The 17,232-nt window shown below is 44.8% G+C and overlaps 1 protein-coding gene across 19 annotated transcripts in view; it reads left to right on the forward strand.

Annotated features, from left to right (window-relative positions):
• Positions 1-17,232, forward strand: part of MOV10L1 (Mov10 like RNA helicase 1) — a 71,682-nt gene that overhangs the window by 27,010 nt on the left and 27,440 nt on the right. For 15 of the 19 annotated variants that reach the window (XM_011530697.2, XM_005261923.5, NM_001164105.2 and 12 more), the window contains 6 exons: positions 142-336; positions 3,487-3,601; positions 8,377-8,554; positions 9,187-9,257; positions 11,401-11,492; positions 16,992-17,050. In XM_011530697.2, coding sequence (XP_011528999.1) covers positions 142-336; positions 3,487-3,601; positions 8,377-8,554; positions 9,187-9,257; positions 11,401-11,492; positions 16,992-17,050 — 710 coding nt within the window. Of the gene's footprint in view, positions 1-141; positions 337-3,486; positions 3,602-5,103; positions 5,125-8,376; positions 8,555-9,186; positions 9,258-9,472; positions 10,802-11,400; positions 11,493-16,991; positions 17,051-17,232 lie in introns of those variants that run through there. The other 4 variants (XM_017028837.1, XM_047441415.1, XM_017028836.2 and 1 more) reach the window with 4 other exon arrangements.

The raw sequence follows: 17,232 nt of genomic DNA on the forward strand, positions 1-17,232 counted from the left end.
CTTTTTTCTCTGTAAAAAGAATTATTGAAGACTAAAGATGAGTCTTAACTCTGTCACTTTTCTTGTATGTACAAAGGAAAATTGTGTTGACTGCCTATCTTATTTATGACTAAAACTAAATTTCATTTTGTTTTTTTCAAGAAATCCTGGCCGCTGCAAGGAGCTCCTTTTGCTCTGTTTTTCCGATTTCCTAATTGGGCGATACCTTGAAGTAAATGTTATCAGTGGGGAGGAGTCACTAATTGCTGCGCGCGAACCATTTTCTTGGAAAAAGCTTAAAAGTTCACAAGCGTTAACATCCGCAAAAACTACAGTTGTTGTGACCGCACAGAAAAGGTACCATAACTGAAATGAGTGTGGCTCTTGGTCTGGCAGTTTTATCTGTGAAGGAAAAGCGGACGTGCACTGGCAAGCGGTGGCTACCACCTGGCTGGGGAGGTATAAAGGGGATGAAGCTGGGGTTCAAGCCTCTTTCCATGATTGTATTTGGGGGATGGAGTGCATTTCCACGGAGCTCTGAAGGTCAAGTTCTGTCTCTGCAGCTGCCCAGCAGCAGCGTGAAGCCCAAGGAAGACGGCCTTCACTCCCCCAAGCCCCACTCTGCTCTGGCAGTTCCAAGGTGGCTCTCAGAGCAGGCTGGCCTCACCCAGCTCCTGCCACCTCTCCCGTCCTGACGAGGCCATGGTGTGTAGTGCACGGCATCCCCGTGTCATTCGCACTGGGGGCAACAGGATTGTGGGGTCACCTGAAGCCTGTTTGAAGATGTGGTACCACTTAAGAATGGAGTTAGGAGAAGCAGTGTGTGATCTGGGACTTGTGGCTGGGGAACATAGGGACCACCCAGATTTTAACTGGAGGGTAGTCTCAGGAAAGCACTTCACATCCACGTGTTCTCTTCTGTAGTTATAAAACGAAAAAGCCCTGAATAGCAGGCTTTTTAAAGTGTAATGACTTAGTCCCGTGTGATGTGACTTTTCCTCCATCGGCTATAATAACTGATGGGTTTGAGCTCTGCTACTACCCCAGACCTCCCTGAGGGTGAGGTGGGTCACTTTTCTAATACTGAAAGATTCTGAATTTCAAATCACGTGTTGCCCCAGTTACAGTTCAAGATGAGGGATTATGGACTTCTACTTAGTTGCAGACTAAAGGGAAAACCTGTTACCAGGGAAGAATATCATGTGGTTGTTTACCTTTTAAGGTTAGACCATTGTTTGAATCACAGCACCACCACCAAGAAGCTGTGTGACCTTGGGCAAGTTTCTTAACCACTCTGAGCCTTGTTCTCATTGGTAAAATGATAGTCCCTGCCTCGTGTGGTTTGAAGATTGAATGAGGTCAGACATGTAAAATGTGCAGTTTTCTGGCACAAAGCAATCACTCAGTAAGCGAATAAGCAGTCATGATCCCTGGGCATATTATTATTGAGAAAAAGGGGCTCACTGCCTGATGCACTAGGGGCCATTGCTACGACAGTGGGTTTCTGAGAAAAGAAAAGCTTTGTATTGAAAACCAACCCCCAAGGAGACAGGAGTCAAGCTCAAATGTGTCTCTCTGTGCTGGCTTTAAGGCAGTAATTTTGTCAGAAAACGTTTAGTGGGTAGAATCTGGGATTAATAGGTGGTTGGTGGAAGGAAAAGGGAGGTCTGGAAAGGCCTTGGGTGTGCATAGTTACCCCTTCATGCTACCTCATGGGTCACATGTGCCAGTTCGGAGGGAGTTCGCATGAAACACGGTGGGAATCCAGGCTGTGACGTCAGTAAGCTCTGCACAAACTCCAGTTGTCCATCTTGGTTCCAGCTGATCTCAGCCAGTCCTTTGATGTCATAAGCAGGGGGAGACTCAGCGCTGGAGTTGTTTCTTATCACCCATCCTGCAGGCTCAAGAATTTCTGTTAGTCATCGGTTTCTTTAACTCTTTGGGGCACAGTTTCAACATCAAGGGGCTGTAGGGATGTAACCCAGAAAAGGAGCAGGAAAGTCCCTCGGCTGCCAGGCAGAGCAGAGTCCCCGAGGATCGAGTTTTAATGACAGGAGCCTTGGAGGATCCCTGGTTCTCATCTAGTGACACACCAAGCAGCTTTCTAGTTATCATTTGGCTTAACAGAAAGAGTGAAATACACAGAGCAACAGCCACAAGGATTTTAACCCCCTGGTCAGTTACTTCCCCGTGAATATTAACATATTGTGTGGGAGCGTATCTAAAACAAGGACATCAGTTTCCTGCCACTCAGGTTAGTGACCCAGAGTGCCTGACCCGGGTTGGCTCGAGCACACCTGGAGCACCAGGTGTCTGGACCTGCCCACGCGGGCATTGGCGGGTGCCTGCTTCCAGAGCTGTCCATCCGTGGCCGCCTGTCACAGGTCCTGCACTTCCTGCTAGGACCCCCAGTGCCAGGCAACTTTGGCTCTTAGCTAGAGCAGAGTGTTCACTTAGCAGATCTGTTCTGGGGGGCTTTGTAGGCCAGCACACTCCCAGCCAAGTTTCTAGCCACCCATCATGGTAGGAACCACATTTTGTTAATCCAGCGTGTCTGTTGAGGCCACATGGTTCTGTTAGCTGTTCAGGCTGTTGACCTAAGCCTGTAGTGATCATCCTGGTTTCCCTTTACCTTGTTCGTGTTAGTAATCAATGCTTTCCAAATACACCTCGCATGTGAGCGCTGACATAACCCTCAGCACAAACCATGGGGAATGTCTTCACCCCGTTTCTCCTGTTGAGGGCTGAGCCAGTGGAACCCAAATTGAGATGACAGTGAATGGAATACGGAGAGCAATGTGGGCTTCTCTCTTGGGTGAGACTGCACTGAAATGGAGAGCTGGGAGGGAATGAGGGATAAAGGTCCAACCAACATCCTTATTTGCTGAGTTGAGTTTTATCGACCTCACTCTGACTTTTCGTTTCCCTGTTCTCTCCTGGCTTCTCCTCTCCTGTCTGTCCCTTTCCCATTGTTTCTGTTGCCGCATTGGGCTTGGCTCCAGAGCAGCGATGTTCTTCATCCTGAACAAACTGAATTTCCCCAGAGAAACCACAGGCTGGGAAACAAAACAAAAACAAATCGAAGGCAGGACCCAGACAGAGCAGCCTTTTCCTAATGTGTGCTTTGCAGGGATAGGCCCAGGTGGAGTCCTGATGTCAAATATAGTAGGAAGAGCTTAGCTCATAGAATGTTAAAAACAGCTGTTTCCAAACTCCTGGTTCCAGGAGATTCTGGGGGTTCCAGCCCTGTTTTCCCACAGCCTGTGCAGCTACACTTACCTGTTTACAAATAGTAGAGCACTTGTGGGAACTGTTTGAGGAAAGGATCCCAGAGCTAAAACGAAAGCTTCAAACCACTGCCTTAGACCAGCTATTCATATATCAGTTCTTCTCAGGAAATGGATGGACTTTGGTCTTCCTAAAATAGGAAAGGATGTTTAGGTAAGAATGTCTAGTGATACCTGGTGATAAAGACTTATTTTTAACTTGTGAACTTAATTTTTTAAGGAACTCAAGACGACAACTTCCAAGTTTTCTTCCCCAATATCCAATCCCAGATAGACTTAGAAAATGTGTGGAACAAAAAATTGACATCCTGACTTTCCAGCCATTACTTGCAGAGGTAGGAAGTGTCTCATGGCCTGTGGGGTGTTGGCATCTTCTAATGCTCTTGTTTTCTGACAAAGCCAGGAGGTTCCTTCTCAGGTTCAGACCTTCATCTGGCTTGTTTTCTTCACAGGTAGCTGGGATAACGAGGGTCACTGCCTGGCCGTGAGGGATGAGGCACCATAGCACTCACGCTGCCAGACCTGCTGTACACCAGGGGCTGGCATCCCACAGCCTCACTGGGGGTCACGCACAGGGCCTTTGGGGTCTGGAGCAGAAGAACTGAGGGATACCTCTGCCATCAGCCTGGCCTCTCTCGCTAGACTAGGAGGCCTTTGTTATGAGCAAGAAGTGTTCTAGCCTTTTACCATCATCCTGACAGAGCCAGCAGGGCAAGGGTCCAGGGGAGGAGAGCCCAGGTCCCCACCCACATGGGAGACAGAGGAGCACGTTCTGAGTGGGGTAGGTGGAGAAGAAAAGTTCAAGAAGGAAGAAAAGTCTATAAATTTGGCAGTTTGAGGGGAGAACATTGCCCTTTGTCCAGGAGGGTTTTTTTCTGTAGGGGTTTGAGGTGTTCTGAGAGTCCCCAGCTAAACTGGAGTTCCAGTGCCAGAGCAGCTGGCAGCCCTGTCCTAAGGAGAATGAAGGGAATGGGACCTAGGTGTTCACCATGCGCCCTTCAGGGGATCCTTTCCAAATACACCTCCTTGTTTAAAAAAATGTCCTTGTTTTACCAGGAGGACAGCTGATGCCCCATGACCGGGGTTCCTCACGCAGGAAACTTATTCTGGCAGACGCCCCAGTGGCTCTCGTCTGACCTGTATCCAGGTTATGCCTGCCTGATCATCTGGCACTGGGAGCCCAAACTTATGTTCCCCAATGCCAGGGAAAACCCGGCCTGGGCAGTGCTGGGTTCTTAGGATGGAAGGTGCAAATTCAATCCACTGCCGTGATAGAAACAAGTTCAGATGTGTTTTACTCACAGATCCTGGGCAGGGAGGTTGCCATGAGTCGCGAGCGCAGTCCTCTGTCCCCCAGTCACTTTGAGTTTGTAGGCAAATGCCTGAATGGTTCATCGAGGTGGCAGAAAAAGCTGGACCTGGGTCTGCTAGGATGGAGAGGTGCTCCTCAGCTCCTCCCTGGGGACCCAGGTCTGCTGGGCTTGGAGGGTGCTCCTCAGTTCCTTCCACAGGCCACCGACTTGATGTTTTGATGCTGCAGCTTTGTAGTAAGTTTTGAAATCAGGAAATTTGAGTCCTCCAGCTTTGTTGTTCTTTGGCAGAATTTATTTTGCTTTTCAAGATCTTTTATACGAATTTTAAGATGCATTTTTCTATTTCTGCAAAATATAGCATTGGAATTTTTTTTCCCCAGAGACGAGGTCTCACTACATTGCCCAGGCTGGTCTCAAACTCCTGGCCTCAAGTATTCCTCCCGCCTCAGCCTCCCAAAGTGCTTGGGATTACAGGTGTGAGCCACTGCACCCGGCCTGTCATTGGAATTTTGATGGGAATTGCATTGAATCTGTAGATTGCGTTGGTTAGTATGGACATTTTAACAATATTGAATCCTCCAGGCTATGAACATGGAATGTGTTAACATTTATTTATGTCTTCTTTAATTTCTTACAGCAGTGTTTTGTCATTTTCTCTGTATATGTTTTTCACTTCTTTGGTTAAATTAATTTGTAAGTATTTTATTATTTTTGCTGCTGTTGTAAATACATTGCTCTCATAGCTGCCTTTTCAGATTCTTCAGTGTTGTTTAGAAATGAAGATAATTTTTGTCCTTTGATTTTGTACCCTGCTACTTTGCTGAATTTATTTATTCTAACAGTTTTTTGTGGAATCTTTTAGAGTTTTCTACATATAAAATTATGCATGCCATCTGCAAACAGATAATTTTATTTCTTCCTTTCCAATTTAGATGCCTTTCATTTCCTTTTCTTGCCTAATTGCTCTGGCTAGAACTTCTAGTACCATGATGAATAGCAGTGGTGAAAGCAGGCATCCTTCCCTTGGAAGTTCCTGATCTTATGGGAAAAGCTTTCAATCTTTCACCATTGAGTATGATGTTAACAGTGGGTTTTTCATATATGACTTTCATCATTTTGAGGTGATGGTTTTCTTTCTTTCTTTCTTTCTTTCTTTTTCTTCTTTTCCTTTTTCTCTTTTTTATTTATTTATTTATTTATTTATTTTTGAGACAGGCTCTCCTGTCGCCCAGGCTGGAGTGCAGTGGCGCAATCACAGCTCACAGCTGTGACTGCAGCGGCACACCACCATGCCCGGCTAACTTTTGTATATCATAGAGACAGGGTCTTACAATCCTCCCGCCTTGGCCTCCCAAAGTGTTGGAATTACAGGCAAGTATGGGTGTGAGCCACCACACCCAGCCTGATTTTCTTCTCTTCCTAGTTTGTTAAACGTTATCATGAAAGGGTGTTAAATTTTGTCAGATGCTAGCTGGGTGTGATGGCATGCACCTGTAATCCCAGCTACCTGGGAGGCGCTTGAGCCCAAGAGGCAGAGGTTGCGGTGAGCTGAGATCGCACCATTGCGCTCCAGCCTTGGTGACAGAGGGAAACTCATGTCTCAAAAAAAAAAAAAAAAAAAAAATTCAATTGCTTTTTCTGTATTGAGATGATCATATGATTTTTTTTCCTTCTGTTAATGTGTGTTGCTACAGTAATTGATTTTCAAATGTTGAACTATCCTTGCATTCCAGGAATAAATTCCACTTGATCATAGCATGTAATCCTTTTATTTTATATATGTTTTTTGAGACAGGGTCTCACTGTGTTGCCCAGGCTGGAGTGCAATGGCTCAGTCACTGCTCACTGCAGCCTCGAGCTCCTGGGCTCAAGCAATCCTCCCACCTCAGTCTCCCAAGTAACTGGGACTACAGGAATGAGCCACCACACCCAGCTAATCCTTTTCATATGCTGCTGAATTTTGTGTGCTAGTATCGTGTTGAGGATTTTTTCATCAGTGTTCATATTGGTCTGTAGTTTTCTTTTCCTGAAGTGTCTCTGTCTGGCTTTGGGATCAGGGTAATGCTGGCCTCATAAGAATAAGTCAGAGAGTATTCCCTCCTCTTGAATTTTTTGGAAAAGTTTGAGAAAGATTGGTATTAGTTAGTCTTCAAATGTTTGGTAGAATTTAGCTATGGAGCCATCAGGTCCTGGGGTTTTCCTTTTCAGAATATTTATTACTGCTTTAACCTCCTTAGTAGTAATTGGTCTATTCAGATTTTCTTTCTTCATGGTTTAGTCTTGGTAGGTTTTGTGTTTCTAGGAATTTGTCCATTTCATCTGGGTATTGGTATACGATTGCTCATACTCTTATAATCCTTTTTATTTCCGTAGATTCTGTAGTAATGTTCCCACTTTCCTATCTTATTTTAGTAATTTGTCTTTCCCTTTTTTCTAGTTAATCTACTAAAAGTCTGTCAATTTTGTTGATCTTTTTGGAGAACCAACTTTTTGTTTTCCTGGTTTTCTGTATTGTTTTTCAGTTCTCTCTTTTGTTCATCTCTCCTCTAATCTTTATTTCCTTCCTTCTGCTATCTTTGGGTTTAGTTTGTTCTCCTTTGTCTAATTCCTTGCAGTGCTCATGGGAATCAGTGCTCATAGTCACAAATTCCCTCAGCACTGCTTGTGCTGCTCCCATAAGTCTTGCTGTATTGTGTTTTTGTTTTTATTCATCTCCTAAGTATTTTTTAGTTTTTCTTATGGGGTTCTTTTGCTTTAATTCTTATCTTTGCTCTTTTGCACATAACGTTGTTTTTTCTTAGCTGCTTTTAAGATTCTCTCTTTTATCACTGATATTAATAGATTTGGTTTACGATGTGTGGTGGTAGAGATTCTTTTCTTCCTGTTCTTGTGCTTGGGGTTCATTGGGATTCTTGAATATGCGGCCTTGAGTTTTCTTCAGATTTGGAAATTTTCAGCCACCATGTGTTCAGACGCACTTTCTGCCCTCCCACTTTCCAATTCCGGGCAGGCTGCTGTGAGTTTTCCCCCACCTCATGCTGAGGCCCTGGTCTGGCCCCTCAATGGGTTTTGCAGGATGGTGTCTCATGCATTCCTTAGTGCTGAGCTGATGGTCCTGAGTGGGTCCCCTGACCCTCTCCAGACCACTCTGTGCTGCTTGCTCTTCCCAGCGCTCAGCCCCACAGATCAGAGCTCCTCTCCTTAGAAACCATGCAGCATCCCTGGGTCCTCTGTGCTGGGGCCTAGGAGCTCTGTTCAGGCACAGGTGGATCAGTCATGGGGCCCCCATGGATTGTTTCCCCAGTCTTGGGATCACAATCCTTTGCTACGTGATGTTCATTGTTTAAACACCATCGTTTCTTATTTCTCTGTCTCTTTAAGTTTTTTTCAGGTAGAAGGGTAAATCTGGTCCTTGTTAGTCCACCTTGGCCAGACCTGGAAGTTTGTCCTTTTTTCACAGATGTCTGTGGAAGCCAAATTCTGCCTTCCCAGAATTAACGTGGACAACCTGAAAAAGAGCAGGGAGGGTGGACAGGAGTGGGCAGTGCAGGGAGGGACACCGCCAGCTGGAGCCCCACTGCCTCATGCCAAAGGCCAGGGAGTGTGCTGGAGCCCCATGGCCCTCGTGCTGAAGGCCGGGGAACTTACTGAGGCACCTGCAGACTCCGGCGAGGATCGCCCCACCTGGGGGGCCATCTGCTGAACTGGAGCTGTTGGAACTTTCCTGCTCCGGAGCTGCTACTTTCCAGAGTGCTGCTGAGCTGTTGCTGACTTTATAACATTTGGGTGTTTTCCAGCTTCTGAACATGTCAAATTACAAGGAGAAGTTTTCGACTTTGCTGTGGCTTGAGGAGATTTATGCAGAAATGGAACTGAAAGAGTATAACATGAGCGGGATCATCTTAAGAAGGAATGGGGATCTGCTGGTTCTGGAGGTCCCAGGGTTGGCCGAAGGGAGGCCTTCTCTCTACGCAGGTGTGTTTGTTACTCATATGCTTCCCTGGGTGGACTAGCAGAGAAACCATACTTGAGAGAAGATACTCTTTAACTGGCAATATGACAGTCACATTATCGCATTTTCTTTCTTTTGGGTTAGAATTTCACTAAAAATCAGCAACCGATGTACATCAAGCATGTTTCTTTGTTGTATTTCATTAGTTGTAAGCAGTTGACCCCAGTAATGTTTTTGTTTGTTTGTTTGTTTGTTTTTTGAGGTGGAGTCTCGCTGTGTCGCCCAGGCTGGAGTGCAGTGGCGCAATCTCAGCTCATTGCAACCTCTGCCTCCCGGGTTCACGCCGTTCTCCTGCCTTAGCCTCCCGAGTAGCTGGAACTACAGGCGCCCGCCACCACACCCGGCTGATTTTTTTTTTTGTATTTTTAGTAGAGATGAGGTTTCGCCGTGTTAGCCAGGATGGTCTCGATCCCCTGACCTTGTGATCCGCCCGCCTCGGCCTCTCAAAGTGCTGGGATTACAGGCATGAGCCACTGCACCCAGCCTGACCCCAGTAACGTTTTATTGAACCTCCTCAGTGTTGGATTTTATAGGACAGCACAGAAATTTGTGATTTTGTGTTAGCTTTAAACATGGTAATATATTTTTTAACTAGGTGATAAACTGATTTTAAAAACTCAAGAGTACAATGGACATGCCATCGAATACATCAGCTACGTGACTGAGGTGAGAGCACTCTCTCTTAATGAGTTTGTGTTAGACACACCCTTCTGACCGGTTGGAAAGGTAACGTTCTCCCCACGGCTCTTGGGGAGATGCTCCCATATGCATTGGCTATTTTGGAAAATGTCAAGATACAGTGAATCTTTAAATAATTTTTGATGCATAAAGGAAACTTAATACTATAATTTTCAACCATGTAAAACATATTTATCTTTTAGGTTATATGTAAGTCATGAGGTTTGCGTTGAGTTGTATTTGGGCATTCTGAATGTATTCCAGAAGAGCTCGCAGAGTGGAGGCCTTGAAAGGAAAAATACACCTATGAGTTTGCAGCTCTGATGTTTGCGTGAAGGTGGTTTTTTTGGCTTTGAGTAGATCCTGGTGCTCCAGATGGTTCTGCATGGGGTGGTCTGTGACTCTTGGGCTGGACTTTACTGGTCATGTACTGGTCATAGCACTGGGAGTGATACTGGGATCTGCATGAGAAGGGAGGTGCTCTATCTGTGCATCAGAGAAGATGAAGCCACACATTACTTAATGTAGAAAACTTGAAGGGAGAATGCCAGAGCCTTTACTGTCAGAAGGAAGAAGGGCTGAGAGAACTAGAAGAGCCTGATAAGGATCTGGAGAAGAGGCAGCTTCCGACCTTTGATGCCACAGTCACTCTGCGCTACACCTTCATGCAGGGTCCATGCTGTGGCTGATTTCACAGAGTGGGATATTTCCCAGAAGACAACATCTTGGCAGGATTTCAGAGATTTTGTAATGAATTAGGCCATCGCCTGTGGACTGAGATGTGAGACACGAGTGACATGACCTCGCCAGCTCTCCATTACCCACCTTTGCTGTTGACCAAGTTGACATGAGGAGCCCAAGATGGCCGAATGACCATCTTAGCCTCCTAGACCAGCTGTGCCAAGAAAGGAAGCTTTGCATACCAAAACCTCCAAAGAAGCAGAGCCAGAGATCTCAGGAGGAAGGCACCTGCCTGCCTCCACCCCTGGTTCCTGAGCCATATGGCCGGGCCTCCATGCCATTGATCAAACCCTGGCATCTGAAATGACCTTCCGTATCCTTTTTAGCTCCAAAAATTATTTTCATCTTTTCAGGCTTTCTTGGATGCCACCTGCACCTGTTCTCAAGTAGACTAACGCATGTCTCCTGTGTATAGTCAGGACTTGGTCTGTCTTCCTCATCCTCAGGGGAAACAATCCCATGGCCCTGTACCACTGTTGCTTCCCTTCCTCCCGGAGCTGGAAGCCATCCCAGGGCGTAGCTTCCCGACTCTCTGCTGGTGTCAGCCCTGACCCTCAGGAAACTCACCCTACCAGGGTGTTGCCTGAGTCACCTGGAGAAGAGCTTGAGCTCCTTTTCAGATCAGGGCTTTCCTTCTTATTTTTCTACCCATACTGTCTAGGAAAGAATATGCAGAACTGATCATGCAGGATCTTGCTTTAGCTGGAGGGCTTTTCTACTAAAAGGATAAGTCTTGTAATGACTGTTTTTTTTGTTTTTTTTTTTGAGATGGATTCTCACTCTGTCACCCAGCCTGGAGTACAGTGGTACGATCTTGGCTCACTGCAACCTCCGCTTCCCAGGTTCAAGAGATTCTCCTGCCTCAGCCTCCCAAGTAGCTGGGATTACAGGTGCCCAGCACCACGCCTGGGTCCTTTTTCTATTTTTAGTGGAGATGGTTTCGCCCCGTTGGCCAGGCTGGTCTCAAACTCCTGACCTCAAGGTGATCCGCCCACCTTGGCCTCCCAAAGTGCTGGGATTACAGGTGTGAGCCACCGCACCCAGCAGACCTTCTTATCGAGGCTTCCTTACAGTAGGTAACACTTGGCTACCCTTGTGGTTGTTTTGTTTGTGTCCTATGGAGTCAGTGACCTCCCACACATTCTCTATTCTCAGAGCCTTAGGAGAGGCTACAGCCAAGTGAATAGAAGTTCAGTAAGTATGAGTGTGTAGTGATCCATTTCCTCTTGTTTGTATAATCGAATGGCGTAATGATTTAATCCTTTTCAACTAATTTTGCAGATATCAAATTTTAGCTCAGAGCTATAGAATGAATTTTTGATGATGTGTCGCTAGATAAAGATATCACATTATTTCAAGAAATCAGGTATATTGTTTGTTCCTTTTTTAGATTCATGAAGAAGATGTAACTCTTAAAATTAATCCAGAATTTGAACAAGCCTATAACTTTGAACCTATGGATGTGGAATTTACATATAATAGGTAATGCTTTTAGTGAGTCTTCTTTCAAATGTCTTTTTTTTTTTTTTTTTTTTTTGAGACTGGGTCTCATTCTGTTGCCCAGGCTGGATTTCAGTGGCGCAATCTCGGCTCACTGCAACCTCCGCCTCCCAGGTTCAAGCGATTCTCCTGCCTCGGCCTCCCAAGTAGCTGGGACTACAGGTGCCTGCCACCACGCCTGGCTAATTTTTGTATTTTTAGTAGAGGCAGTGTTTCACCATATTGGCCAGTCTGGTCTTGAACTCCTGACCTTGTGATACGCTTGCCTTGGCCTCCCAAAGTGCTGGGATTACAGGCGTGAGTCACCACGCCCGGCCATCTTTTTTTTTTTTTAATAGAGATGGGGTCCCAGGCTGGTCATAAACTCCTAGGCTCAAGCGATCCTCCTGCGTCAGCCTCCCAAAGTTTTGGGAGTATAGGTATGAGGCACCATGCCCAGTTAATTTGTCTCTTTATCTTTAATTGGACAGTGTTCTCTTGAGTATGTCTGTTGACATCTAAGTAGTGACGTAGGAGCCCCCACCATGCCTGTGGTTGACGTGTATAGGCCTTGTGGATGGAAGTGGGCTCCTACAGCATTTTTGCATACCCCGTGTTTCTAGCTTTATTATCAACTATTTTTTGAGATATAAAGGTGCATACATTTGCATGTGTATTCTTTCCCAGATCTCATGTGCACCGGATCTTTGGTTCATGCCTCACTGTCACCGTCAGCTACCAGCTCCTTACTTTTATTTGTTTTCTTGTCGGATGAGGGGTGCTGTGACCTGGCACCCAGCTGGCTTTTTCTTCCTCCACAAAACCATTAACTAGTCATGCACAAAAAATGTATTCTTCAGTTTTAATTCTTTTGAACTTTAGAAAAGGAGTAACTTGCTGTATTTGGTTCCTAGGAGTCGAGATTTTCACTAAACATTGTGTTCCTGAGATGTCTCCGTGTTGTTGTAACTGCTGTTCATTGGTTTGCGGTTGTGTGAATACCCGCTGTTTTTCTGTTGATGGACATCTTCATTGTTTGCTGTTACGATTGTTTGCTGCTGTTCCTAGAGCTGCTGTGTATGTAGGGATGGGATTGCTGGGTTTGGGGTTTTTCCAGCTTTACAAGTGGTTGCATCAGTGACTTTCAGTATCCATGTGTATAACAGCCTGCTGATCGGTGCCCTTTCTGTAATCTGATTTTGTTCGACTTCCTAATTGGTGCCAGTCTGGTAGGTGTGTAATGCATCTCATGATGGTCTTGATTTACTTTTCTCTGACTTATTTACAAGGCTGAGAATCTTCTTGTTCGTGGGCCGTAAAATGTTCCTCTTCCATGAAATGCTTGCTTGCGTCTTTTGCCCTCTTTTTTATTGAGTAATTTATCCAATTTTCATTGTTGTGGGAGTCCTTTCTGTATTCCTTATGATAAACTATTCTTAGGTACATATCTTCTCCAGATTTCTTCCTTATCTTTTAGCTTTTTAAAAAGTATCTTTTGAGGCTGGGTGTGATGTAATCCCTAACACTTTGGGAGGCCAAGGCAGGTGGATCTCTTGAGGTCAGGAGTTCGAGACCAGCCTGGCCAACATGGGGAAACACTGTCTCTACTAAAAATACAAAACTTAGTGGGCATGATGGCACATGCCTGCAGTCCCAGCTACTTGGGAGGCTGAGGCAGGAGAATTGCTTGAACCCAGGAGGCGGAGGTTGCGGTGAGCTGAGATCATACTACTGCACTCCAGCCTGAGACAGAGCGAGACTCTGTCTCAAAAAATAAATAAATAAATAAATTTTATATATATATGTCTTTTTATTAACAGAAGGTGCTAGTTTTAATATAGTCAAATTTATCAAATTTTTTTTAATATTAGTGCTTTTTATGTCTGTCTGAGAAATCGGCAGTATTTGGGCTACAGCCAGATTGGAATGTATTGAGAATGAATGAATGGACTACGGGGGAATGGAGAAATGTCGTTGATTCCTTTTTAAGGCATTTGCCGATGAAAGCAGGGAGGGCAGGATGGAGAGAGAGCGAGAGAAATTGGTGACCAAAGAGATACAGGAGGACCAGGAGGGGGGTACTTTTTGTTTGCTGTGCAAGATGAGAGACCCCAGCATGTGAGTGCCATGAGAAGACCCAGGAATGGGAAGGAAGGGGCAGCTGTGTTGGATGATGACGTGTGAGGGTTGGCTGGGACCACAGGGAGCAGCAGCGCTGGTAGAAGGCACACAGCCTCCATCATGGCAGCTAGAGAGACTGCAGCCGACGTCCAGGCCTGGACTCCTTGACCTGCTTTGACTCTGGAACAGAGCTGATTCTTGTAGTGTGAAGGGATATCTCGTTGTGGATTTAATTTGTATTTTTCTAATGACTAATGATGCTGAACATCTTTTCTTTTTTCTTTTTTTTGAGACGGAGTCTCGTTCTGTTACCCAGGCTGGAGTGCAGTGGCACGATCTCGGCTCACTGCAAGCTCTGCCTTCCAGGTTCACACCATTCTCCTGCCTCAGTCTCCCGAGTAGCTGGGACTACAGGTGCCCACCACCACGCCCGGCTAATTTTTTTTTTTTTTTTTTTGTATTTTTAGTGAGACGGGGTTTCACTGTGTTAGCCAGAATGGTCTCAATCTCCTGACCTTGTGATCTGCCCACCTTGGCCTCCCAAAGTGCTGGGATTACAGGTGTGGGCCACCACACCCGGCCACTGAACATCTTTTTATGTGCTTTTTTGCCATTTGTACAAAATACTTGTTGAAGTCCTTCCTCAAGTCTTTGGGCCCATTTTAAAAAATTGTTTTCTCATGATTGAGTTTGCAGAGATGTTTGTATAGTTTCAGTACAGTGCTTTATCAGATACGTGTCTGTGCAAATATTTCCTCAGACTACAGCTTGTATTTTCATTGTTTTTATAGTGCCTTTTGAAATGCAGAAATTATTAATTTTGGTGAAGTCCAGTTTATGAATGTTTTCTTTCACAGATCTTTTAATGATGCATCTCAGAAATCTGTAACTAATTTGGATCTCAACGATTTTATCCTGTTTAGAAACTTGGCAGCTTTATCCTGTACATTTAGGATTATGATCTATCTCATTAAGCTTTGCAAATTGTTTGTGGGGTATGAATGGAAATTGGAGGGTGGAATGAACATCCAGTTGTCCAAGCATTATTTGATGAAAAAACTGCCCTTTCTCCAATGAATTACTATTGTACCTTTGTGAAAAAAAAAAAAAGAAAATCAGTTGACCAAATATTTGTTGATCTGTTTCTGAAGACTCTCTGTTGTGTTCCATTGTACACTTGTCTGTCTTGACACCAACATTACAGGGTCTTATTGTCTGTCTTAGTACACTCAGGCTGCATTAGCATAGCACCATAGATGGGGTGGCTTATAAACAACAGAAATGTATTTCTCATGCTCTGGAGGTCAGGAAGCCCAAGGTCAAGGCACCAGCAGGTTCAGTGTCCTGGTGAGACTGCTTCCTGGTTCGTAGGCGGCTGTCTTTTCCCTGTGTCCTCACGCAGCAGAAGGGATGGGAGAGCTCTCTGTGCTCCCTTGTGTAAGGGCACTAATTCCATTCATGAGGCCCCACCCTCATGACCTAATCACTTGCCAAAGGCCTCAACTCCTCATACCCAGTAACATCACATTGGGGATGAAGTTTCACCATACGAAGCTGGGGGGAACACAAACCTAGTGTATGATATGTGCCTTTATGATAAGTCTCAAAATCAGGTAGTATCAAGCCTCCAACTTTGTTCCTTTTCAAGGTTGTCTGGCTGTTCCAGGTCTTTCTTCTTACATGGATTTTAGGTCATGTCAGTCTCTACAGAAAGCCTGTTGGGATTTTGATTGGGATTACATTGAACCTATGGGTCGGTTTAAGGGAGAATTGGAGAATTGAAATCTTAATAATAATAAGTCCTCCAGCCCTTGAAAAGGGTATGTCTCTCCATTTATTTGCATCTGTTTTCATTTCTTTTAGCAATATTTTATACTTTTCAGTGTATAGGTCTTATAGATCTTTTGTCAGTTATACCTATTTAAAATTTTTAAATGGCTGTTATAAACAGTAAATTTAACTTAAATTTCTAATTGCTTGTTTCTAGTATTTATAAAAAGCAATTGATTTTTGTATGTTTACCTTGTATCCTGCAAGTCTCCTAAACTGAATAGCTCCAGTAGCTTCTCCTAGAGTCTGTAGAATTTTCTACATATATAATCATTGATTCAAAGAATGACAGTTTTAGGTTGGGTGTGGTGGTTCACACCTGTAATCCCAGCACTGTGGGAGGCCAAGGCAGGCGGATCACCTGAGGTCAGGAGTTTGAGACCAGTCTAGCCCACATGGGGAAACCCCATCTCTACTAAAAATACAAATAATCAGCCGGGCGTGGTAGTGGTCACCTGTAATCCCAGCTACTTGGGAGGCTGAGGCAGGAGAATTGCTTGAACCCAGGAGGCGGAGGTTGCAGTGAGCCGAGATCACGCTACTCATTCCAGCCTGGGCGACAGAGCAAGCCTCCGTCTGAAAAAAAAAAAACCAAAGACAGTTTTACTTCTTCTTCTCTTATTTGGATGCTGTGTATTTGTTTTCCTTGCCTTCCTGCGCTGGTTGGAACTTGTGTGCCAGTGTGGAATAGAAGTGGTGGCAAGTGCTGCACTGGCTTTGTCCCTGGTCTTAGGGGCAGGGCTGTCAGTCCTGAGCGAGTTAGTACAGCGTGGGTGGTAGGTTCCGTAGTGGCCCTCTATCAGGTTGAGGAGATAGATTCTTATTTTAGTGAGTTTTTAATCAAGAATGGATATGGGGCCAAGTGTGGTGGCTTACACCTGTAATCCCAGCACTTTGAGAGGCTGAGGTGGGAGGATCACATGGGCCCAGGAATTTGAGGCTTCAGTGAGCTCTGACTGTGCCACTGCACTCCAGCCTAGGCAACAGAGCAGAGTCTCTAAAAAAAAAAAAAAAAAGAAAGAAAGAATGGGTGTGGGATTTTGTCCCATGCTTTTTTTTTTGGCTTCTTTGGTATTCTCTAGTGGTTTTTACAAAAATTTTTTTAGACAGAGTCTCACTCTGTCACCCAGGCTGGAGTGCAGTGGTGCCATCTCAGCTTACTGCAACCTCTGCCTCCCAGGTTCAAGTGATTCTCATGCCTCAGCCTCCTGAGTAGCTGGGATTACAGGCGTGCACCACCACTATGCCTGGCTAATTTTTGTATTTTTAGTAGAGGCAGGGTTTCATCATGTTGGCCAGGCTGGTCTCGAACTCCTGACCTCAGGTGATCCACCCACCTCGGCCTCCCAAAGTGCTGGGATTACACACGTGAGCCACCGCGCCCGTCCTCTCTAGTGTTTTTCTGTTCTCTATTTCATTGATTGTTGGATTGTTGCTGTGATTTTTTTATATTGACTTAAAGATTGTATCATAAAATTTTCATTACCTTATGCCAGCCTTAATATTTCTGAATGTAAGGTTAGTTATTTTATGTGGTTTTCTTTCCTGCAGGACCACAAGCAGACGGTGTCACTTTGCACTTGAACACGTCATCCACTTAGGTGTAAAAGGTATTACTTTTATAGAATGATAGTGTTACATCTTCACAGAGTATTTTTATAGGCTTCATGTAAAATTTTGTGTAAAATAGTCTCTTCAGTCATAATATTAGAAGTAAAACTTTTGTTATATTCATGTTTTTAATTTTCTATCAAGTTTTAGTGTTTTCTTACTATTTCAACTTAGTGAATAA

This window comes from Homo sapiens, chromosome 22, assembly GCF_000001405.40.
Source record: "Homo sapiens chromosome 22, GRCh38.p14 Primary Assembly".
Lineage (NCBI taxonomy): Eukaryota > Metazoa > Chordata > Mammalia > Primates > Hominidae > Homo > Homo sapiens.